The sequence below is a fragment of the Homo sapiens genome, chromosome 9, assembly GCF_000001405.40.
Source record: "Homo sapiens chromosome 9, GRCh38.p14 Primary Assembly".
NCBI classification, from domain to species: Eukaryota; Metazoa; Chordata; class Mammalia; order Primates; family Hominidae; genus Homo; species Homo sapiens.
The window spans coordinates 70,426,807-70,451,900 of NC_000009.12; the positions used below are offsets into that span (position 1 = coordinate 70,426,807).

The window sequence follows — 25,094 nt, forward strand, 5'->3', positions numbered from 1 at the left end:
TAACTGTTAGATGAGATCATTTAATTCAGTACTTCTCATACTTTACTGTGCATAAGAATCACCTGGGGATCTTGTTAAAATGCAGATTTTGATTCAGTATGTTTGGGGTGGGCCAGAGTTCTACATTTTAACAAGCTCCCATGTGATGCTAATACTAACGGTCATCAGACCACTTTTTAGCAAAGATGTATTTAACTGATGCACATTTATCAAGCACCTTCTATATATCTTTGTTACTGTGCTAGATACTAGTGATAAATGTTGTGAACAATACTAGGCTGAATAATGTCTTCCCAAAGATATCCACATCTTAATCCCCCATCTGTGAATGTCACCTTAGGTAGTAAAAGGAATGTCTCAGATGTAACTAAATTCAGAGTCTTTGTTTTTCAATGTATTTATTTATTTAGAAATGGAGTCTTGCTCTGTCGCTCAGGCTGGAGTGCAGTGGTGTGGTCTAAGCTCACTGTAACCTCTGCCTCCCAGGTTCAAGTGATTCCCCTGCCTCAGCCTCCCGAGTCGCTGGGAATACAGATGCCTGCCACCACGCCCAGCTAATTTTTGTAGTTTTAGTAGGGTCGGGTTTTGCCGTGTTGGCCAGACTGTTCTCGAACTCCTGACCTCAAGTGATCCACCTGCCTTGGCTTCCCTAAGTGCTGGGATTACAGGTGTGAGCCATTGCACCCGGCCCAAATTTTATTTTTAAAGATGGCATGTTGCTCTGTTGCCCAGGCTGGTCCCAAACTCCTGAGCTCAAACAATTCTCCCTCCTCGGCCTCTTGAAGTGTTGAGATTACAGGTGTGAGCCACTGTGCCTGGAGAGATTATTTTGGCTTATTAGAGTAGGCCTGATGTAATCACAAGATTTTATAAGAAGGAGGCGGGAGGCTGGAGAGAGAGAAGATGCCATACAGCTGGCTCTGAAGATGGAGGAGGAGCTGTGAGACAAGGAATGAAGGCAGCCTCTGGTAGCATAAAAGGCAAGGAAACAGGCTCCCCTAGAGCCTCTAAAAGGAATAAAGCTCTGCAGACACATTGTAGACGTCTGGCTTCTAGAGCTGTAAGGTAATATGTTTTTGAGATTTTAACCCACCAAGTTTTTGGTAAGTTGTGACATAGCAATTGAAACTAATATGAGTGTGAACCAAGTGAGGTCTTTATCAGGATATGTTAGGTAAAGCTATGGTAAATATGTGGGTGAAGATAAAAGACTTTTTAAACAAGTTTTTTGAGACAGAGTTTTGCTCTTGTTGCCCAGGCTGGAGCACAATGGTGCAATCTTGGCTCACCAAAACCTTCACCTCCCACGTTCAAGCGATTTTCCTGCCTCAGCTTCCCAAGTAGCTGGGATTACAGGCATGCACCACCATGCCCGGCTACATTTTTTTGTATTTTTAGTAGAGCCGGGGTTTCTCCACGTTGGTCAGGCTGGTCTCGAACTCCCGACCTCAGGTGATCCGCCCACCTTGGCCTCCCAAAGTGCTGGGATTACAGGCATGAGCCACTGCGCCCGGCCAACAATTTTTTTCTTTTTTTAATTTCTTTTTTTTTGTTTGTTTTTGAGACAAAGTCTCTCTCTGTTGCCAGGCTGGAGTGCAGTGGCAAGTGATCTCGGCTCACTGCAACCTCCGCCTCCTGGGTTCAAGTGATTCTCCTGAGTAGCTGGGACTACAGGTGCGCACCACCACGCCCAGCTAACTACTGTATTTTCAGTAGAGACGGCATTTCACCATGTTGGTCAGGATGGTCTTGAGCTCTTGACCTCGTGATCTGCCTGCCTCAGCCTCCTAAAGTGCTGGGATTATAGGCAGGAGCCACCGCACGCGGCCAACAGCAATTTCTTTAAAATACATACTAACTAGTTAAAACCTAAATTATAACATTGTTTTGTGGGGTTTATAACAAATAAATGCACTATATGTGACCATCATAGTATAAAGGATAGGAGAGGGGTAAATGGACTTTTACTGTGATAACAAATTTTCTAAATGGTATGTGAATGGTATAATATTAACTTTAAGTGGACATATTGGATGTACAGCAAATTAATGACTACCATGGTATATCTTCCCAAATAGTTCACAGTGTGGTAGAAGACATCTGTCCAAATAATTACAACACAATGTGGTATGTGCAACATGAAAAGTTACGCAAAGAGCTCTAGGATTCCAAGGAATCAGTGATTAGCGCCGTTTGTGGGTAGGTAGGTAAAGGCTTCCCAGTAGAAGTTGTATTTGAGCTAAGTTGTGAAGGATGATTAGAAGAGGAGAAGAGAGGCATCCCACATTTGGCAAACAGCATGAGCAAAGAAGCGAGAGCAAAATGGTACGGAATGTGTCAGAGCACCAATCATCATCCAATTCTACCTCTGGGAGTGGTAGGAACTATAAACCTGTCAAGAAGGGCCTTGGCTTAGTTTGTGCAGCTATAACAGAATATCACAGACTGGGTAATTTATAATAGTAGAAATTTGGGCCAGGTGCTCATGCCTGTAATCTCAGCACTTTGGGAGGCCAAGGTGTGCGGGTCACTTGAGGTCAGGAGTTTGAGATCAGCCTGAGTAGCATTGTGAAACCTCGTCTCTACTAAAAATACAAAAATGAGGCCGGGCGCAGTGGCTCATGCCTGTAATCCCAGCACTTTGGGATGCCGAGGTGGTTGGATCACGAGGTCAGGAGATCGAGACCATCCTAGCTAACATGGTGAAACCCTGTCTCTACTAAAAATACAAAAAACTAGCTGGGCGTGGTGGCAGGTGCCTGTAGTCCCAGCTACTTGGGAGGCTGAGGCAGGAGAATTGCTTGAACCCGGGAGGTGGAGTTTGCAGTGAGCCGAGATTGCACCACTGCACTCCAGCCTGGGCGACAGAACTAGATTCAGTCTCAAAAAAAGAAAAAAAAAGAGCCAGGCGTGGTGGCACATGCCTGTAGTCCCAGCTACTTGGGAGGCTGAGGTGGGAAGATCACTTTAACCTGGGAGGTGGAGGTTGCAGTGAGCCGAGATTGTGCCACTGCATTCCAGCCTGGGTAACAGAGTTAGACTCCATCTCAATAAATAAATAAGTAATAGAAATTTATTGTTCACACTCCTGGAGGCTGGAAAGTTCAAGATCAAGGTGTTGGTAGATTTGATGTCTGGTAAAGGCTTGCTCTCTGCTTCCAAGATGGCATCTTGTTGCTGTGTTCTCACTTGGGGGAAGAGTGGAAACGGGAGGAAGCTCTCTGAAGCCTCTTTCATAAGGACACAAATCTCATTGACTAGGGTGAAGCTCTCATGACGTAATCACCTACTAGAGGCCCCACCTTCCAATACCATCACCTTGGTGATTAGGTATCAACGTAAGAATGTTGGAGGGAAATAAAACTTCAGAGCAGAGGGATAAGGGCAAAGTTTATATAAGAGCATCTAGGAAAGCCTTTCCTCCATGCTGAGAATCAGTTACATGCAGGGAAATTCTGTTAATTGAGCCACTTTTCAGGTCTCCTGTCTTGGAATACAGTTGCATGAGGATATGATATTTAGATTTGTTATGAGCATGATTAGAAAGTCAAGAGGATTTCTGAGATATCAACCCAGAGCGCTGTCATCTGTTAAGTATTGCCAGCAATGACCTACTTCTGGGCATGTCATATGAGAAGAAATGTACTGTTTGTGTTTAAACCATTGCTGGTTGAATGTTCTATTATTTGCAGCCAAAAGTATTCCTTAAAGATATATAGATTGATCAATTGATTGATTTTTTTTTTTTTTTTTTTTTTTTTTTTTTTTAGATAGAGACGGGTTCTCACAATGTTGACCAGGCTGGTCTTGAACTCCTGGCCTCAAACTATCCTCCTGCCTCCCAAAGAGCTGGAATTACGGGTGCCAAGTCCTAACAGATACAGTTAGGAAGAAAAGTTTTAGTAGATGAGTGGGGGCATTAGTCAAACTCCAATGACCTGAGGTGTGAACTGGAGTAAACACATATCATCAGAGACTATGGCATGAGTTTTCAAGAAGTTGGCAGGTTAAGGAGAATAGCAGATGTAGGGGTATATCGAGGGAAGGAAGATGATGGGAATAATTTTCTAGATTGTACATACTTGAATATGTTTCAATTGAGGGGAAGGAGCTAGTCATTGGGAAGAAATTAAAAATATATGAAGGATGAGATCATTGATAAAACAAGGTAGAGAAGGGAACAGAGTCTCAAGGACCCAGGAAGGAAAAGGAAAGCCATGTTTTCCTTGGAGGTAGAAAGAAGGATATGAGCCTAGGCTGGGTGCAATGATTCATGCCTGTGATCCCAGCCCTTTGGGAGGCTGAGGTGGGAGGATTGCTTGAGCCCAGGAGATCAAGACCAGCCTGGGCGATATAGTGAGACCTTGTCACTATTCATTTTTTTATTTATTTTTTTGAGCCGAGTCTTGCCCTGTTACCCAGGCTGGAGTGCAGTGGCATGATCTCGTCTTACTGCCACCTCTGCCTCCTGGGTTCAAGTGATTCTTCTGCCTCAGGCTTCCAAGAAGCTGGGATTACAGGCGTGTGCCACCATGCCTGGCTAATTTTTTGCATTTTTAGTAGAGATGGGATTTCAACTTGTTGGCCAGGCTGGTCTCAAACTCCTGACCTCAAGTGATCCACCTGCCTTGGCCTCCCAAAGTGCTGGGATTACAGGCGTGAGCCATCGCACCTGGCCTATTTTATTTTTTTAAAAGGATGTGAGCCTAGCTGAAAATTTGGAGAAGTTTGGAGATGGAGAAGAGAAAAGCCATGGGAATTCATGCCTAGTGGCATCTGTTTTCTCTGTGAAGTCGGACTGGAGCATGGTAGCATGTGCAAGTGAGGTGATGGGGAATATGGCGGAGGACATGAGTAGAGTGGCAGGGGTTTGTCTGGAATGCCTGTCACTGGGATGAACCACCTTATTTATATCTCCTTACTCTGTGCCTGGCACATGACACGTTCTGTTTGTCTGAAGAATGAGTTGACTCCATATGAGTAATAGCATTGTTAAACACTAGAACATATTCCTTCTATCTAACCATATTTTTGTGCCCATTAACTACTCTTCATCCTCCTCCCCCACCCTTACCCTTCCTAGCCTCTGGTAACCATCATTCTTCTCTCTACCTCCATGAGATCAACTTTTTTAGCTCCCACATAGGAGTGAGAACATGATATTTGTCTTTCTGTGCCTGGCTTTTTTCACTTAACATAATGACCTCCAGTTTCATCTATGTTGCTGCAAATGACAGAATTTCATTCTTTTTAAAGGTTGAATAGTACTGCATTGTGTATATGTACCAGAGTTTCTTTCTTTCTTTTTTCGAGACAGAGTCTCGCTCTGTTGCCCAGGCTGGAGTGCAGCAGCATAATCTCGGCTCACTACAACCTCCACCTCCTGGGTTTAAGTGATCCTCCTGCCTCAGCCTCCTGAGTAGCTAGGATTACAGGTGTGCACCACCACACCCGGCTAATTTTTGTAGAATTTTTGTATTTTTAATGGAGACAGGGTTTGCTGTGTTGGCCAGGCTGGTTTTGAACTTCTGACCTCAAGTGATCTGCCCACCGTGGCTTCCCAAAGTGCTGAGATTACAGGTGTGAGCCACTGTGCCCGGCCTGTTGGGTTTGTATGTCTTCTTCAGATCATTTGCCTGTTTAAAAATTAGATGAATTATCTACAATGAACTCAAACAAATTTACAAGAAAAAAACAAACAACCCCATCAAAAAGTGGGCAAAGGACATGAACAGACACTTCTCAAAAGAAGACATTTATGCAGCCAAAAAACACATGAAGAAATGCTCATCATCACTGGCCATCAGAGAAATGCAAATCAAAACCACTATGAGATATCATCTCACACCAGTTAGAATGGCAATCATTAAAAAGTCAGGAAACAACAGGTGCTGGAGAGGATGTGGAGAAATAGGAACACTTTTACACTGTTGGTGGGACTGTAAACTAGTTCAACCATTGTGGAAGTCAGTGTGGCGATTCCTCAGGGATCTAGAACTAGAAATACCATTTGACCCAGCCATCCCATTACTGGGTATATACCCAAAGGACTATAAATCATGCTGCTATAAAGACACATGCACACGTATGTTTATTGCGGCACTATTCACGATAGCAAAGACTTGGAACCAACCCAAATGTCCAACAATGATAGACTGGATTAAGAAAATGTGGCACATATACACCATGGAATACTATGCAGCCATAAAAAATGATGAGTTCATGTCCTTTGTAGGGACATGGATGAAATTGGAAACCATCATTCTCAGTAAACTATCGCAAGAACAAAAAACCAAACACCGCATATTCTCACTCATAGGTGGGAATTGAACAATGAGATCACATGGACACAGGAAGGGGAATATCACACTCTGGGGACTGTGGTGGGGTGGGGGGAGGGGGGAGGGATAGCATTGGGAGATATACCTAATGCTAGATGACACATTAGTGGGTGCAGCGCACCAGCATGGCACATGTATACATATGTAACTAACTTGCACAATGTGCACATGTACCCTAAAACTTAGAGTATAATAAAAAAAAAAAATTAGATGAATTTTTTTTTTTTTTTTTTTTGCTATGGAGTTCTTTGAATTTCTTACATAGTCTGCTTATTAATCCCTTGTCAGATGCATGGTTTGCAAATATTTTCTCCTATTCCGAAGGTTGTCTCTTCACTCTGCTGATTGTTTCCTTTGCTGTGCAGAAGCATTTTTAGCTTGATGCAATCCTATTTATCTATTTTTGCTTTTCTTGCCTTTGTCCTTGACGTCCTACCCAAAAAATCTTTGCCCAGACCAGTATCCTGAAGTGTTTTCCCACTGTTTTTCTCTAATAGTTTCATAGTTTCAGGTCTTACATTTAAGCCTTTAATCCATTTTGATTTGATTTTTGTATATGGTGAGAGATGGGGGGTTTAGTTTCATTTTTCTGCCTATGGTTATCCAGTTTTCCCAGTGTAGATCTTCCTATCAGTATGGAGAAAACAGTATGGAGGTACCTCAGAAAATTAGTGATAGATCTACCATGTGATCCAGCAATCTCATTGCTGGGTATATACCTAAAAGAAAGGAACTCAGCATTATCAAAGAGAGATCCATGTGCCCATGTTTATTGCAGCACTGTTCACAATAGCCAAGATATGGAATCAACCTAAGTGTCCATCACCATTAATTGAAGATATTGTCCTTTCCCAACTGAATGTTCTCAATTGAAAATCAATTGGCTGTAAATATGTGGATTTATCTCTGGGTTCTCTTTTTTTTTTTTTTTTTTTTTTTTTTTGAGACAGAGGTGTGAGCCACTGTGCCCGGCCTGGGTTCTCTATTCTGTTCCTTGGTCTTTGAGCCTGTTTTTATGTTAGTATCATGTGTGTTTTTTTTGTTGTGTTTTGTTTTGTTTTTTTTTGAGGCAGAGTCTCACTCTTTCACCCAGGCTGGAGTGCAGTGGTACAATCTTGGCTTACTGCAAACTCCGCCTCCCGGGTTCAAGCAATTCTCTTGCCTCAGCCTATTGAGTAGCTGGGATTACAGGAATCTGCCACCATGTCCACCTAATTTTTGTATTTTTAGTAGATATGGGGTTTCGTCATGTTGCCTAGGCTGGTATCGAACTCCTGACCTCAAGTGATCCACCTCGGCCTCCCAAAGTGCTGGGATTACAGGCATAAGCCACCATGCCTGGTCTATGCTGTTTTGACTACTATAGCCTTGCAGTATGTTTTGAAGTCAGGTAGTGTGATGCCTCCAGCTTTGTTCTTTTTGCTCAGGACTGGTTTGGCTATGTGGGGCCTTCTGCAGTTCCATATGAATTTCAGAATTTTTTTCTCTGTTTCTGTGAAGAATTTCACTGGTATTTTGATAGCACATATTTTAAAAACACACGCTTGTTTTTTTTAAAATCTATTTTTTAGCTAAGAAGTTTCTATGAATGTTTTCTACATTATTTTATATTCTCCTACCCTATTTAAAAAATATCTTTAGCCAGGCACAGTGGTGTATGCCTATAGGGCCAGCTACTTGGGAGGCTGAGGCAGGAGGATTGCATGAGGCCAGGAGTTTGAGGCTGCAGTATGCAATAATCACACCTGTTAATAGCCATTGCTCTCTAGCGTGGGCAACATAGTTAGATCTCCTGTCATCTCTCAAAAATAAAAATAAAATAATTATCTTTTGTATAAGTAAACACTCATGTGGGTCAAAATTCAAAAAGTATAAAAGGATATGTAATGGAAAATTTTCTTCCCAACCTTCTCCGTCAGCTATCTAGATGCCTTTTCCAGAAGCAATCAAATATTACTATTTTTTCTAAATCCTTCCCAAGATATTTTATGTGTATCCAAGCAAATACATATATTTTCCACATTTATACACAAATGGTTACTAAAAACCATTCTGCACCTTATTTACTAACATATCTTTTTTTTTTTTTTAAAAAAAATGGAGACGGGGTCTCCTGGTCTCACTGTGTTGCCCAGGTTGGTCTTGAGCTCCTGGACCCAAGCGATCCTTCAGCCTCGACCTCCTAAAGTGTTGGGATTACAGGCATGAGCACCCAGCTTATTAACATAATAATATATCTTCAGGGTAACTACATGAAGGTCCTCTATATATTGACCTTTGATATATTGTTTTCTCATGTTTAATGCTGCCATAGAACTCTGATGTAAATATACCTTAATTTATGTAACAAATTTATTAACAAACTGCCCAACATTTAGGTTACTTTGTGTCTTTTGGAATTTCAAAAATACTTCAGCAAATAACCTTCTTTCACATTGGGGCAGCACACCTGTATGATAAGTTCTTGAAGTCTGATTGCTGAGTTAAAAGGTCCATGTGTTTGTAATTTTGATAGATGTTGTCAGATTGTCTTCCTTAGAGTTTGCACAAGTTTATAGTCCTACTAGCAATGTATAAAAGTGCCTGTTTCTCCATATCCTCATCAATGAGTATGTTAAAAATGTGTTTGAAGCCAGGCACAGTGGTGTGCACCTGTAGTTCCAGCTACTGGGGAGGCTGAGGCAGGAGGATCACTTGAGCCCAGGAATTCAAGGCACTAGGATTGCACCTGGGAAAAACAGCCACTGCACTCTAGCCTGGGCACATAGCAAGACCCTGTTCCCAAAGAAAAAGCTTGAGCTTTGCCAATCTTATTGATAAAAATGGCATTTCAGGGTGCTTTTAATTTTCATTCTTTCATTATGGGTGAGATTGAGAATCTTCTCATATTCATATGCTTGAGAGCTTTTGGTATTTCCTTTTTCATCTATTTCCTTTGCCTGTTTTCTTTTGGATTGTAGGCTTTTCCCCTGTAGATTCTCTCTATATTAGGATCTTGGCGCTTTGCCTGTGGTATGAGTCACAAATATTTTTCTCAATTTCTGCCATTTAACTTTACTTACTGTATTTTAGCCATGCAGTTATTTCCCCCTTCTACAATAAGATATGCAGAAGGTTTTTTTTGTTATTGTTGTATTTATTAATTTTTTATTCTTCTGGATATTATTTTATAATTGGAAAGGCCTTCCACATACAAATAATAATTGTCCCATGATTTCCTCTAGTGCCTTTGATTTCATTATCTATTAAAAAGTGTTTTTTCTATGCCGGGTGCTGTGGCTCATGCCTGTAATCCCAACTGTTTGGGAGGCTGAGGCAGGTGCATCACCTGAGGTCAGGAGTTCGAGACCAGCCTGGCCAACATGGCGAAAACCCGTCTCTACAAAAATTAAAAAAATTAGCCAGGCATGGTGGTACACATCTGTAGTCCCAGCTACTTGGGATACTGAGGCGGGAGAATCGCATGAACCCAGGAGGCAGAGGTTGCAATGAGCACAGATCATGCCACTGCACTCTAGCCTGGGTGACAGAGCCAGACTCCATTTAAAAAAAAAAAAAAAAAGTTTTTCTAGTATAATTAGTCAGGATGTACCCAACTTAATTTTCTCCAAATGACACCCAGTTGTCCCAATCCCATGTGTTTATTTATTTATTTTTTGCATTTTTCGCAGAGACAGTGTCTTGAACCCCTGGCCTCAAGTGATCCTCCTGCCTCAGCCTCCCAAAGTGCTGGGATTACAGGTGTGAGGCACCGTCCCTGGCCCATACGTTGATTTTATTTTTCACATGTACTATCATGCCATGTCTGAATAAAGACACTTTTTCTTCTAAGCTTTATGTCTTTCTTTTTCTTAGCTTGTATTTGCTAAGACCGCTAGTAAAATGTTGACTAGCGTGGAGGTAGGGAGCATTTTTACCTTGTTTTTGATCTTACCTGAGAGCAAACAGCAAATGACTGATTGGGTATATCTTATCAGATTGCTCTCCACAAAGTTTATGCCAGTTTGAACTCCTCTGCAGTGTATGGAGTTGCCTAAGAAACCATAACCATTAAGTATGATGTTGGCTGTAGGTTTTTGTAGATATCCTTTATCAGATTGAGAAAGTACCCTTCTATTTCTAATTTGTTGAGAGTTTTTACTAAGAATTTTTGACAAGTGCTTTTTCCATGGAGATAATCATACTTTTTGGGGGGCTTTTATTCTGTTAATGTAGTGAATTATATTAATGATTTATTATTTTCTTTTCTTTATATTTTAGAGACAGGGTCTCGCTCTGTTACCCAGGCTAGAGTACAGTGACATGGTCATAGCTCGCTGTAACCTCAAACTCCTGGGCTCAAATGATCCTCCTACTTCAGCCTCTCAAAGTTCTGGGATTACAGGCATAAGCCACTATACCCAGCCTTAATTTATTTTTGGAGTTGTTTTTTTTTGTTTTTTGTTTTTTTTTTTTGTGAGTCAGGGTCTCACTCTGCTACACAGGCTGGAGTGCAGTAGTGCACTCCGGCTCACTGCAGGCTTGACCTCCTGGGGCTCAAGCCGTCCTCCCACCTCAGCCTCCGTAGTAGCTGGGACTACAGGTGTGTGCCACCACATCTGGCTAATTTTTGTATTTTTAGTAGAGATGAGGTTTCAGTATGTTGGTCAGGCTGGTCTTGAACCCCTGACCTCAGGTGATCTGCCTGCCTCGGCCTCCCAAAGTACTGGGATTACAAGGATGAGCCACCGTGCCTGGTCCTAGCCACTTATTTTTGAATTTTTGAAAATTAATAATTAATTGTATTTATTTATTTTTGTTTTTATTTTTGAGATGGAGTCTTGCTCTGTTGCCCACGCTGGAGTGCAGTGGCATGATCTCAGCTTACTGCAACCTCTGCCTCCTGGGTTCAAGCTATTCTCCTGCCTCAGCCTCCTGAGTAACTGGGATTACAGGTACCTGCCACCATGCCCGGCTAATTTTTGTAGTTTTAGTAGAGACAGGGTTTCGCCATGCTGACCAGGCTGGTCTCGAATTCCTGACCTCAGGTGATCTGCCCACCTTGGCCTCCCAAAGTGCTGGGATTACAGGTAGGAGCCACCGTGCCCTGCCTAGAATGCACTTCTTGACAATCCATTTCTTTGGATTAAAGCATAGAGCCTGGGCTGGGTGGCGGAGGTTGGAGTGAGACAAGATTGTGCCATTGCACTCCAGCCTGGGCAACAAGTGTGAAACTGTCTCAAAAAAAAAAAAAAAAAAAAAAAGCATACAGCCTGTAGGTGATTTTCTATAATTACATGTAAAGGAAGCAATTCATTCATTCATTCATTCTTCAACAGATTGGGTCTCCCCGCTGTGTCAGCATTGGGCTTGGCACTGTGGATATAATGGTGAACAGAGCACACATAAGCCCTGCCTTCCCAGATCCCATAGTCTACAAGGAGAGGAAAATAACCAATTGCAGTAATTGTGATTAGGGCTGTGACAGGAGAATGCAAGGGTGCTGGGAGGAAAACATAACATCTTGTCAGAGGATCAGGGAGAACTTGAGAGCTAAGCTGAGGAGGAGTTAGCTAAGCAAGCAGGGGAAATGGGCGGGGGATGGATGTTCCAGGAAGAGGGAACAGCAAGTACAAAGTTCCTGAGGTGAGAGATTATGCTGCATGTAAGGAACTGAAGGAAGTGACTCACAGGAAGGCAGCCGTAGAGAGAGGGGAGGCTGGGAAGGAAGGTTCTGGGTAGAACTTATGGGGCTTTGAATACCCATATTTGTGACTTTTATCCAAGGGCAACAGCAAGCCATGTGGGTCTTTAGTCAGGAAAAAGATGTAAGATTAATATCTTACTTATTTTTAGACAGAGTCTTGCTCTGTCACCCAGGCTGGAGTATAGTGGCACAATTTTAGCTCACTGCAGCCTCCAACTCCTGGGCTCAAGCGATCCTTTTGCCTCAGCCTCCCTAGTAGCTGGGACTATAGGCAAGCACCACCACACCTGGCTAATTTTTTTTGTAGAGACGAGATCTCACTATGTTGCCCAGGCTGATCTTGAACTCCTGATCTCAAGAGATCTTCCCACCCCAGCCTCCCAAAGTGCTGGAATTACAGGCTTGAGCCACTGTACCCAGCCAAAATCTGTGTTTAGAAATACCTCTCTGTCTGTAAGCTGAATTGAAGGGCACCAAGGAGCAGAGATAAGAGTCCAAAACAGAGATGGAAGTAGCTCGGAATAGGAGAATGGCAAAAAGATGGACGAAGCATGGGAATCCGATTTGGTGGATAAGGGCAAGGGAAGGGATGAGGATGACTCCTGGGTTTCTGGCTTGGACAATGGTGGAAATCACAAATCTATAGGTGAGGAGGAAGAATTGGGTTTGGAGGAGTTGAGTTTGAGATCTCTGTGGGACCATCACGTAGAGTTGCCTAGTAGAGAGTTGGATAATTATTAGCCACTAACTGTTCACCTAAAGTTACTTTATTGCAGGTTAGCAGCCTAGCTAACTTACAGAGTCCTAAAGGAATAAGATATAAGTATTTTTACTGAAAGAGAGGGGACTAAGCAAAAGCCTTGAACCATCTCCCGCTACCCCGAATTCATATGCCCACTTGAAGTCCATCCTCCTGGTTGCAGGAGATGTTTCTCCCTGTTTTGTTAGTATAGCATTTGTGTCATTGCTTCTTAAGTTTCCTTTTTCCTATCATTTTCTCCTATTAGATTTTGCGTTCCAGGTAGGATATGTGTTCAATTCATCTTTGCATTTCCAGAGCCTCATAGGCTGCCCTGAACATAGTGTATTCATCTCCCACCAAATGACTTTAATTTGTGCATTATAATTCTGCTACCAAGTCAAAAGCTGTTACATAAAAATAAAAACAGCTCTATTCATTTTAATGGGAAAAACTGTGCTCTATCCCACTCCAAGATACCAGTTTTCACAGACAGAAAAATAAATCAATAGAAGAATGAAAAAATTTAATAAACAACAGTTGGAAAGTTAAATATAGGCTGGTTGCAGTGGCGTGTGCCTGTATTCTCAGCTGCCTGGGAGACTGAGGTGGGAGGATCCCTTAAGCCGAGGGTTTGCTCAAGACCATCCTGGGCAGCATAGTGAGACTCTGTCTCAAAAAAGAAAGTTAAATATAGTTTATACATAAAAGGTAACATATTAAACGTTTATTGTACTTACTCTTTTTTTCTTCTTTTTCAATTTCTCAACCTTTGGGTTACTTTTGCACCATACTGAACTAAAAATAAAATTATAGCACAGAAAAATATCTCTAGGGCAACATAAAGCTAGAGGTGTGAGTGCTTTGAAATATATGGAAACAATGCCTGTTCCCAGCAGATCAAAGAGCCATAGATGACGCTGCCTCGCAGTCCTTTCATTGGGCATATGTACACACAAGAAGACATCTTGAGTTTAACATCTTGAGTTTAACCTAACATGACTCACAACTTAAATTTATTCCAAATAGTATTTTCTAAAATAAACAATTGTGTCAAAGAAAAAAAAAAGGTGAGTGGGTTTTTGCTTGAAATCCCAATGAAGAAATATTACTTCTGTTCATTGTTTATATAATGAGTTTTTGAGTAAAAAGACTGTTAACTAAAATAAAAAAGGGAAGGGAAGGAAGGAAAGGGAAGGGGAGGAAGGAAAGGGAAGGGGAAGAAGGAAGAAAAGGAAAGAAAATCACAAAATGGCATATCTTTTGGAGAGCTTTTATGGTGAAAAATTGCTAACATGTAAGAGAAAATATAAAGATGAGTAAATCCATGAAACAGTAACAGGCTAGGAATAACAAAACAAAAAAAGATGAGTGAATGATTTGGTAAATGAATGAATGCTCAGTAGGGCTCCCTGTCAATAGGAAATTTTGTTCTGTTAGAGAAGGCTTAGAGCTCTGGGAAGCATGTAATGTTGGCGATGATGAATACCAAAAGGAGGCCGAGGCAGGTGGATCACCTGAGTTCAGGGAGGCTGAGGCAGGAGAATCCCTTGAACCTGGGAGGCGGAGGTTGCAAGTGAGCCGAGGTTGTGCCACTGTACTCCAGCCTGGGCAACGGAGCACAGCTCCATGTCAAAACAAAACAAAACAAAGAAACAGGGTCTCACTATGTTACCCAGGCTGGTCTGGAACTCCTGGGCTCAAGTGACCTGCCCACCTTGGCCTCCCAAAGTGTTGGGATTACAGGCGTGAGCCATGGTGCCTGGTCCAAAATGGACATTCTCATTCCACCTTTTAGTCTTGTATTTTAACTCATTCATTTATGATGATTCCTCTCTAACTTTTGCACCAAAATATCCCAACAGTCCAGAGGAGTGAACTTGTGAGATTCTAAGGGCTGAACTCAAAGGAAAACAGCAATTTTTTTTCTCATTTCTTTGAAGAGTGGTGCTTTATTATAAAAATTCATATGGCTTTAGTATTCTATCTGCATTTGTTTTAATATAAAAATAATTTTCTTCTTATCAAAATTTAATTGTAAAATTGTCACCCCAGGAAGACTTGGTGGATAGTATTTATCTGGTAGCTTTTCATGTAGCTCCCACCCCATTGCTGCTACATTACCACATATTCCTAATTTGGGATGCATATCCTTGTGAGTTGAAAGGTAAATCAATATTTGAATGTTTTTTTAACATTTTAAACATGTATTTACTTACCAGTAGTTCTGTTCCTCTTTCTTTGACTGGAAACCTCAGGGAAGGGTGATTCTACCAGACAAAGGGATCATTAAGCAGTGGGTCACTGAGGTCAACCCTGTGATGGTAACTGGCCACCACCACTTCAATGGTCAGGCACATAATTAGTGGCAAAGCTGAACAAATGTCCCCCACTTAAGGAGGACATGTGGGCCAACAATGAATGTTTGCAGCCCTACAAAATAGAGGTTTTGAGTCAACTTCTGGCATATCTCTGCCGCATCTTTGAATATTAAAATTTTCCATGTAGACAAAGACTTCTGCATCTTGAGGCCTGGTACAAGAATTAGCAGGAGACTTCTGTCAAGACTGTATTATAAATTTATGCTCCAATCACTATCTTTGCTTCAATGATTCCAATAATAGACAAACTATAAAATGAGAAAACATAACAGACACAGCCATGCTAAAAAATAAGATAAGGCTGGGAGCAGTGGCTCATGCCTGTAGTCCCAGCACTTTGGGAGGCTAAGGCGGGAGGACTGCTTGAGCCTAGGAGTCTGAGACCAGCTGAGCAATATAGAAAGACCCTGTTTTTATTTAAAAAAAAAAAAAAAGATAAAAATTTGTCAATCAGAAATGCAGCAGAAAAATAGTAAGAAGCAATAGCTCAGCTTGGCCTTGGGCACAAAATCAAGCAGAAGCAGTTAATAAATCAACTCTTCCTTGAAATGTGGCCCTGAGTGTCCTGCCAGGCAGGTGATCAAAACCAGGTTCAAACCAGGCATGGTGGTACATGCCTGTAGTCCCGGCTGCTTGGCAGACTGAGGTAGGAGGATTGCTTCAGGCCAGGAATTTGAGCCTGCAGTGGGCTATGATTATGCTAGTGAATAGTCACTGCACTCTAGCCTGGGCAACATAGCAAGACCCTGTCTCTAAAAACAAACTAAAACAAAACCAAAAATATGTTCACTGCTTAAAACCAGGGCCTGGAGAGAGGCACTCTCTATCCCTCCACCTCTTTGAAAGGAGGGTCTAAAAGAAATGAAACTGACCACTCCCTAGGTTATATAAGGCAGAGTAGTGCTGTAGGGGGAAGCAGAAAGACCCTTTTGGCCAGGACCTAAACCAAGCCCCTTACAGCAGCATCACCAATATTATCCTAGGACATCTTTCCTGAGCTGTCAATTATAAAACCCAATTGTAGTTTGGGGATCCTGTGGGTCTGGGTTGAGGTAATTGCAAGACTGTTAGACCAGGAATGGTGAGGAGAGAGAACAGCAAAAACCTTCCATACAAAATAAACTTGCAAACCAAAAACTTCAGCACAAGAAGCAAACAAAAACTAAAGAAAGAAGAAACACAGTCAATAGTGGAGAAATTAATTCATTGCAAGTGACATAAAAATAGTAAAGCAATCTAAAAATGATCTTAGGCTGGGTGTGGTGGCTCACACCTGTAATCCCAGCACTTCGGGAGGCCAAGGTGGGTGGATCACTTGAGGTCAGGAGTCAAGACCAGCCTGGCCAATATGGTGAAACCCCATCTCTATTAATAATACAAAAAAATTAGCTGGGTGAGGTAGCACATGCCTGTAATCTCAGCTACTCAGGAGGCTGAGGCAGGAGAATCACTTGAACCTGGGAGGCATAGGTTGCAGTGAGCTGAGATCTTGCCATTGCACTCCAGCCTGGGCAACATGAGTGAAACTCCATCTCAAAAAAAAAAAAAAAAAAAAACTGTTGGGGGGCTGGGTGCAGTGACTCACGCCTGTAATCCCAACTCTTTGGGAGGCCGAGGCAGGTGGATCACTTGAGGTCAGGAGTTCGAGATCAGCCTGGCCAACATGGTGAAACCCTGTCTCTACTAAAAAAAAAATGCAAAAATTAGCCAAGCATCATGGGGGCATGCCTGTAATCCCCGTTACTTGGGAGGCTGAGGCAGGAGAATTGCTTGATCCCAGAAGGCGGAGGTTGCAGTGAGCTGAGATTGCACTACTGCACTCCAGCCTGGGCGACAGACTCCATCTCAAAAAAAAAAAAAAAAAAAAAAACACTTAAGATAAAATTTATAGCATTTGACACATTCAAGAAAAATTGAAAATAAATTATTGTACTTGAGAAGGTAAAGAGGGAATAATAGGGTAAATCTAAAGAAAGTGAAATGAAGAAAATAGTAATGATAAAGCTAAAATTAAATAAAATAGAAAATTAAGGAACCATAGAGGATCTCAGGAAGGCAAAAGCTGACTTTTTGAAAAGTTTAATAAAACTATCAAATTTCTGGCAAGATTAATCAAGGGATCAAAGAGAAAAGCATAAATAATAGTGAAATTATACCACAGATAGAGATTTTTAAAATTCACAAGTGATGAATATGAACTAGTTTATGATGTTAAATTTAAAAACTCACAGGCTGGGCGGGATGGCTCACACCTGCAATCTCAGCACTTTGGGAGGCTGAGGCTGGTGGATCACTTGAGATTGGAAGTTCGAGACCAGCCTGGCCAACATGGTAAAACCCCATCTTTACAAAAAATACAAAAATTAGCCAGGCATGATGGTGGGCACCTGTAATCCCAGCTACTTGGGAGGCTGAGGCAGGAGAATCGCTTGAACCCAGGAGGCAGAGGTTGCAGTGAGCTGAGATTGTGCCACTGCACTCCAGCCTGGGTGACAGACTGAGACCCTGTCTCCAAAAATAAATAAAATAGAAACTCTGACAGAATGGATAATTTTCTAGAAAAATATAACACATTAAAAGTGAATTGACAATAATTATCAGTAACTATTCAAGATAGTGGCTTGATAATTTAAAAAAATCATCACTTTAATGACACTAGACTCAGATAATTTTACAGGCAAGTTTGACTAAATCTTAAGAAACAATTTCTATTGTAAAACTATTTATAGAACAGCAAAATATAGAAAACTAATTTGCTGTATAAACCAAGAAAAATCTTTTTATACCTAATCTCAGGAATGACATAACATTACTTCCGCCACATTCTCATTATGGAAGGACATTACAGAAAGGTGTGAATGCCAGGAGGCAGGATTATTGCAGGGCATCTTACAGCCTGGCTACCAACCATCAGAATAAAGAAAAGTATGTAATTATCCTTATAGAGGAAAGGAAAACATTAGAGTTTAAAATGTATTAATAAAATACTTAGGAATAGAAGAAGTTTTTATACTAATAGTTTCTAAAAATCTATAAGAAACATGATATTTCATGGTGAAATTCTAGATGCTTTATCCTTAAAGTTAGAAACCAGACAAAAATGTTCCCTTCACTGCTACTAATCAAGATCGTAGCCTGGGTACAGTGACTCATGCCTGTAATCCCAGCATTTTGGGAGGCCAAGGCAGGAGGATGACTTGAGCCTGAGAGTATGAGACTAGCCTAGGCAACATGGTTAAAACCCCATCTCTACAATAAATACAAAAATCAGCTGGGTATGGTGGTGCATGCCTATAATCCCAGCTACTAGGGAAGGTGATGTGGGAGGATGGCTTGAGCTCAGGAGGTTGAGGCTGCAGTGAACTATTATAACTTGCCACTGCACTCCAGCCTGGGTGACAGTGGAAGACCCTGTCCAAAAAAAAAAAAAAAGTATTGTAGAGGAAAGAAGTTCTAGCTAATGCAGTAAGACAAGGAAAACAAAAAGGCATAGGAATGAAAAAGAAGAGGCATAATTTTCTTTTCTTTTTTTTTTTTTTTCTGAGACAGAGTCTTATTCTGTCAACCAAGCTGGAGTACAGTGGTGTGATCTTGGCTCACTGGAACCTCTGCCTCCCCAGTTCAAGTGATTCTTATGCTTCAGCTTCCCAAACAGTTGGGATTACAGACGTGCACCACCACGCTTGGCTAATTTTTGTATTTTTAGTAGAGATACGGTTTCACCATGTTGGCCAGGCTGTCTTGAACTCCTGGCCTCATGTGATTCACCTGCCCTCGTCTCCCAAAGTGCTGGGATTACAGGCGTGAGCCACCACATCTGGTCACAAAATTTTCAACATTCGACATGATAGGATTGTCTAAATAGAAAAATCCAAGCACACAATTAGACCTAATAATAGTTAGAGATACTAGTAGGTACACTTTCAACAGACTTACAGAAATCAAAACCTTTACTGTAAATCATTTAGTCTACATAATTGCTATAGTTTGGATGTAGTTTGTTCCTGCCAAAACTCATGTTGTAATTCGAGTTTTGATGTGGCAGTGTTGGGAGGTAGGGCCTAGCGGGAAGTGTTAAAGTCATAGGGGTGGATCCCTCATGGATAGATTAATGCTGTCTCTGTGGACTGGATTGGTTATCTGAGACCGGGTTGTTGCCCCTCACATTTGGTCTTTTTGTACATGCCCACTTCCTCTTCTGCTCTCTGCCATGAGTTGAAGCGCATGAGACTCTCAACAGATGGGCTACCAAATTCTGGATTGCCCAGCCCCCAGAATTATAAGCCAAAGAAACTTCTTTATAAATTACCCAGTCTCACATATGTTTTTCTTCTTCTTTTGGGCAACCCCCTGGATAAGAATAGGTTCAGAGAGACTTCCCCAGTCTCATGTGTTTTGTTATAAGAGCACAAAATGGACTAAAACAATAATTTTTAAAGGTCCCATTCAAAGTATCAAACAAAAATTGTAAGGTCCTGAGCTGGGTACAGTGGTGTATGCCTGTAACCTCAGCTACTTGGCAGGCGAATGGGGGAGGAACACTTGGCCCCAGGAGTCTGAGACCAGGCTGGGCAACATAGTGAGACCCATCTTAAAAAAATTATACAGTTCTTAAGTTTCAAAATATGTGTAAGAATGTTCTGGAAAAATGTATGAAACATTTCAAGGATCATAAAGATCTGAATAAAAGAAAACATAAACTAATATTATAGATGAAATAAGCCAATATTTTAAAGCTATCAAGTGGTCTAAATTCATCATACATTTAAGCCATTCCAAATAAAATCTCAGAGATAGCTTTGAACAGTGTCAGCTTAGCTGAGTAGGAATTTTGTTACCTAGACATCCCTTCATTGAATGGTTGTGGGTTAAGGTAAGCCATGAGAAAAAATTTTTGGGGAGATTGGAAGGTGGAGGTGAAATAGTAACCATTTTTATGCCCTGAAGGTCAGTATAGGGCCAGGCCCTGTTACAGCTCATGAAATAGCAGCTGGACCAGCTTTGTGTGGCAGCTCCATGAGGAAGGGTGCTGGCGTATCCTGCTGGTCATCACGAAGGTTGAGGATAGTGACAGACAGACATGGGTTTGTCCTTACAGGTTCCTAATTATTCGTGGTCTTTCCTATTCATCTTCTTTCCCTACTGCTGGCTCTGGTGACTTGAGGTCTGACACCAGACATGGAACCAATGACCTTGCATAAAATGTTTACCTTCCACAATTGTATGAGGTCTCAGCCCTATAATAAATCCCTTACCTATATCACTCGCAGTGGTTCTGTGTTTCTGATTAACCCCTAAACTAACACAATCCCAAACAGAAATTTCATTGAAATTCACAGGCTAAAACAAAAATTAATTTGGAAGATGAAGAAGCTAAGAATAAGCTAAGAAAATTTTGAAAAAAAAATTGAAGAAAATGGGAGGGGAAGGGGAGGAGTCTTGCTTTGGCAGATATCAAGACTCATTAAGTAGCTATTTAATCAAAAACAGTGTGATACTGGCAGAGTGATGAAGCAGAAAGACTAATAGAGAAGAATAGAGAGCCCACAAAGACTCCCAAACATACACGAAACATGACGTGTGATAAAAGAGACATTACAAATCAGGGAAAATGATGGCCTATTCCAATAAATGTTGCTGTGGCAACTGGATAGCTATATGAGAAAAAATTAAAATATGTCTATAATCTATCATACACAAAAATATATCTTAGAATAATTAAAGCTCTAATTACAAAAAGCAAAACTCTAAAATGAGTTATAGGAGACTATCATTCAGGATAGGGAAGAATTTCTATACAAAACACAAAAATTACAACTGTAAAGGAAGAGTTGATACACTTGACTATATTAAGAAATAAAACCCTTCTGAATGACAAAAGATACCCAACACAGTGTTAATATACAAATTACCTTTTGGGAGAATACTTTGCATTCTACACAATCAACAAAGGGTTAGCATCCAGAGTATGCAAAGAATATAAAGAACTCCTGTAAATAACTGAGAGACAACTTCCTAACCAAGAAAAAAAAAAAAAGGAAAAGTGAGAAAAGATTATGAACAGGCAATTCCCGGAAGAGGGTGATCTGAAGAAGAAAAAATATGTGAAGATGATCAGTCTTACCAGTAGTCATAGAAATGCAAACTAAAATAAAAATGAGATGTTATGTCACACTCATCAGATTAATGAAAATTAAAAGTCAACAATATTAGAGTGTAGAGAAAAAGTAAACCTCACGCATTGTTAGCATATTTTGGAAGAGCCATTATAGGGAAAATGTGGTAGTTTTTGTGGAAGGTAAATATATATGTACCCTATCACCAGGTATACACCCTAGAGAAATGAGGATTTCATTGCAGTATTGTAACAGCAAAAATGAAAACTGAAAGTCTGTCAAAAGAAGAATGAATAAATAATCAAGGGCTATTCGAAGAAAGAACATACCACAATTAAATGAATGCGCCAGGCATGGTGGCTCATGCCTATAATCCTAGCACTTTGGGAGGCCGAGGCAAGAGGGTCATCTGAGCCTGGGAGTTCAAGGATGCAATGAACTATGATTACACCACTGCACTGCAACCTGAGTGACAGATCGAGATCCTGTCTCTAAATAAATACCTACATGTAGCAGTATGGATAAATATTAAAAACAGAATGTTTGAATTTAAAAAAGCAAGTTTCAGGATCATATGTACTACCTTTTATGCAAATTTAAAAAATACCTCCAAATAATAGCAAATATTGTTTATACAGACACATATATATGTAGTAAAAATTTAAAAAGGGGTTTAAATGATAAACACAAATTTCATGACTGTGGCTACTTCTCAGGAAACAAGATCAGGGAAAAGTCCCATAAGGTTCAAGTGTAGATGTAACATTTAGAATAAAGATGCAAAAGTGATAGGGCAAAATATTAACATTTGTTAAATCTGTATGGTGGAAACTGGTTTATGTTACACCTTTTTGTAGGTTGACATTTTTTGTTATAAGACAAAAGAGAAAAACAAATATTAGTGATACTATGGACTGAATGTTTGTTCAGTCATCTCCACTATTGCCCCCAATTCCTATGTTGAAACCCTAATCCCCAGTGTGATGATATTTGGAGGTGGGGCTTCTGGAAGGTGATTAGGTCATGAGGGTGGAGCCCTCATAAATGGGATTAGTGCCTTGATAAGAAGAGACATGAGAGGAATGACCTCTCTCAGTCATGTGAGGGTATTGCTGTCTGCAAACCAGGACGAGGTTCTTCTCCACAAACAGAATTAGATGGTGGTGCCTTGATCTTGTACTTTTACCCTTCAGAACCATGAGCAATAAATTTCTATTTTTCAAGTCACCCAGTCTATGTTATGTCTTATAGTAGCCCAAGCTGCCTAGGACAAGTGGGCACCTGTGGCTTCCCCGCCAGCCTCAACTTCCTCCCAGAGACTCTGAGGCTCTCCAGAGAGCACAGGCACATTATCTGGTTTTACCACTCTGAGAGACTTGTTCTACGTGCCTGTTCTAAAAAACTTTCATTTGGAGTTGACATCGTAGGTTGAGCAAAATTGGGATCTGCTGAAGTTTCCAGTCCATTTGGTGGGGAAAAAACTCATGTATTTTGCCCACTGGGAATTTCCTGTCCTCCTCCAAGACTGGCCTAGGACAGGCTGTGGCTCTGTATTCCCTGTGGGCTTGGAAACCAGAATGTCAAGTACCTCGTGTGCAGCCACACTGCTGTGTGAGTTCAGTCTGCCAGGTCAGCCTGAACTCACCTGGGCCTGACAGCTATAGCTTTCTTGGTCCCAGCACTGCCTTGGTATAGTCAGTGCATGGGATGACATGACTTTTCTCTTCCTTGCAGCTGTCACCCATCACCCTTTACCTCTATTCTTACTGCCTCACTCAAAACAATCTGGAATTGAGAACTATTTCTTGTACTTACCATCTATCTTGAAAATAGATACGTTATTCTCCTTTCTCTTCCTTTTCTCTCTTTCTCTGTTTTTGCAATTGCTTCTCTGGTATTAGCCCTTGAGCTTGTTCAACTTGTGTGTCCACTTCTCTCTGCTCTGTCCCAGTGCTCCATTTTTTCAGATTCCTCTTTTTACTATACTGCTGTCTCTGTGGCTTCCCACTGCATGTAAGTGAAGATCTGTGAGAGCTTCCCATCCTGAAGACCAGTAGGAAAACTGGAGGGAACTCTGAGTATGAGCTTCACATGCATGGAGGTGGAAGAACGTGATTGCAAAACAGCCTTAGCATTGTAGGAGCTGCAATCCCAGGAGATGGTAGCCATTGAAATCTCGTATCACTCAGTGGAATTGTATTCAAGACTTTATTGAGCTTTCAATCCTACCTAAGGCATTCTATTGAATAGCACTGTTTCTGTTTGCTCATAAATTAGTGGGATTTGGGACAAGATGGTGTATGAAGCTAAAATAAAGGTTTTCTTAGGGGTGCGTGATGATTCCAGGAACGTTGTTTGGGTTACTTAAGCAAGGATCCTCAGCCAGCTCTTCGGTTTCCAGCCCCTAGAGTCCAGTATTCATAGTTGAACCAGCTTATGATTTTTTTTTCCCCATGGAGGCACCTCCCTTTTTGCAAAGTTTATAATAGGATTTTGGATTTACTGGAGACTAAGAATCTAATGACCTAAGAAAGTTGTATCTTGGTATTAGGCTGATTTTTATAAATTATAAATTAAAGTAGCCATACTGAGGTTAGCCATAGCCTAAGTTACATGAACAGGGGTTTAAGATGTCAGTGTTCTCATATTTCATATGACCATGCTGGATCTAAATGGAAATTTTGCTCAATGTGGCCACTTAAGGGAGAATATCACATCTGAGTTATTTAAAAAAGGCAGTTGTGTCTTCCCCTAACACTTTTATCCTTCCAGTGTTTCATAAGCATCTCTGTTGCCTGAAATGGAGGCAAACATTATCGCTGTCATGTCATGGATGCAGAGATGGTGCACAGACATTAATTGACTTTCACCTTGCAGGGCAGTGGCTGAGTCATTCAGGGTCACAGGTCTTTTTTTTTTTTTTTTTTTTTTTTTTTTTGCTGCTTATTCTATAGGACAGCATCACCGCATGGTCTTTGAGTTAAAACGTCTACTGCTGATGGAGGCAGTCTGTCGGTGACCTTGAGTAACTTTCACATTCTCTCTGGATGCCCGTTTTCTTGCTTTAAGTTTGGATAACAAACTCATACTTCTGATTTTATCCTTTTTAAAGAAAAATCAGAAATAATGGAACACCAGTGAATCTGAGGTCGGGGATTCCACATTATGTAGAAGCATATATCTCTAGGTCAGGAAGGACCCAAAAAGGGCAGCTGGTCTACTGGTCCTGAAATTTTGAGTCACAGAAGACTTAGTGAAGGAGTTAAAAAAAAAAATACACTTGCGGCCGGGCGTGGTGGCTCAAGCCTACAATCCCAGCACTTTGGGAGGCTGAGGTGGGCAGATCACGAGGTCAGGAGATCGAGACCATCCTGGCTAACACGGTGAAAACCTGTCTCTACTAAAAATACAAAAAATTAGCCAGGCATGGTGGCGGGCGCCTGTAGTCCCAGCTACTCAGGAGGCTGAGGCAGGAGAATGGCATGAACCCGGGAGGTGGTGCTTGCAGTGAGCCGAGATCACACCACAGCATTCCAGGCTGGGCGACAGAGCGAGACTCCATCTCAAAAAAACAAACAAACAAACAAAAAAAACTCTTGCTTGAGCTCCATCCCAGATCTACTGAAATGGAAAATACTAATATAGAGGGCCAGAATTCTGTAATTTTAAAAATCACTTTGTGTGGTCTGGTGCAGGTATAGAAACTGTGGCTTAAGTGGAAGCTTCCAAGTGCATGGGAGAGGGGACATCCTGTGGATTTGCTGAGGGGTCTGATGTGCAGTTTCAGTACACAGACCGTGGGACTAAAACTGCAACCTTCTTAAAGACAAG

The 25,094-nt window shown here is 41.2% G+C and overlaps 1 long non-coding RNA gene across 5 annotated transcripts in view, besides 1 other annotated feature; it reads left to right on the forward strand.

The window, feature by feature from the left end:
• Positions 1 to 25,094, forward strand: part of KLF9-DT (KLF9 divergent transcript) — a 136,304-nt gene that overhangs the window by 12,617 nt on the left and 98,593 nt on the right. The window lies entirely within an intron of this gene.
• Positions 11,767 to 12,061: an enhancer, noted in NCBI's record as "tiled region #12362; HepG2 Activating DNase unmatched - State 3:PromF,and K562 Activating DNase matched - State 5:Enh". NCBI's record gives its function as "activates a minimal TATA promoter and a strong SV40 promoter by Sharpr-MPRA in HepG2 and K562 cells {active_cell/tissue: HepG2 | K562}" and the evidence as "EXISTENCE:reporter gene assay evidence [ECO:0000049][PMID:27701403]".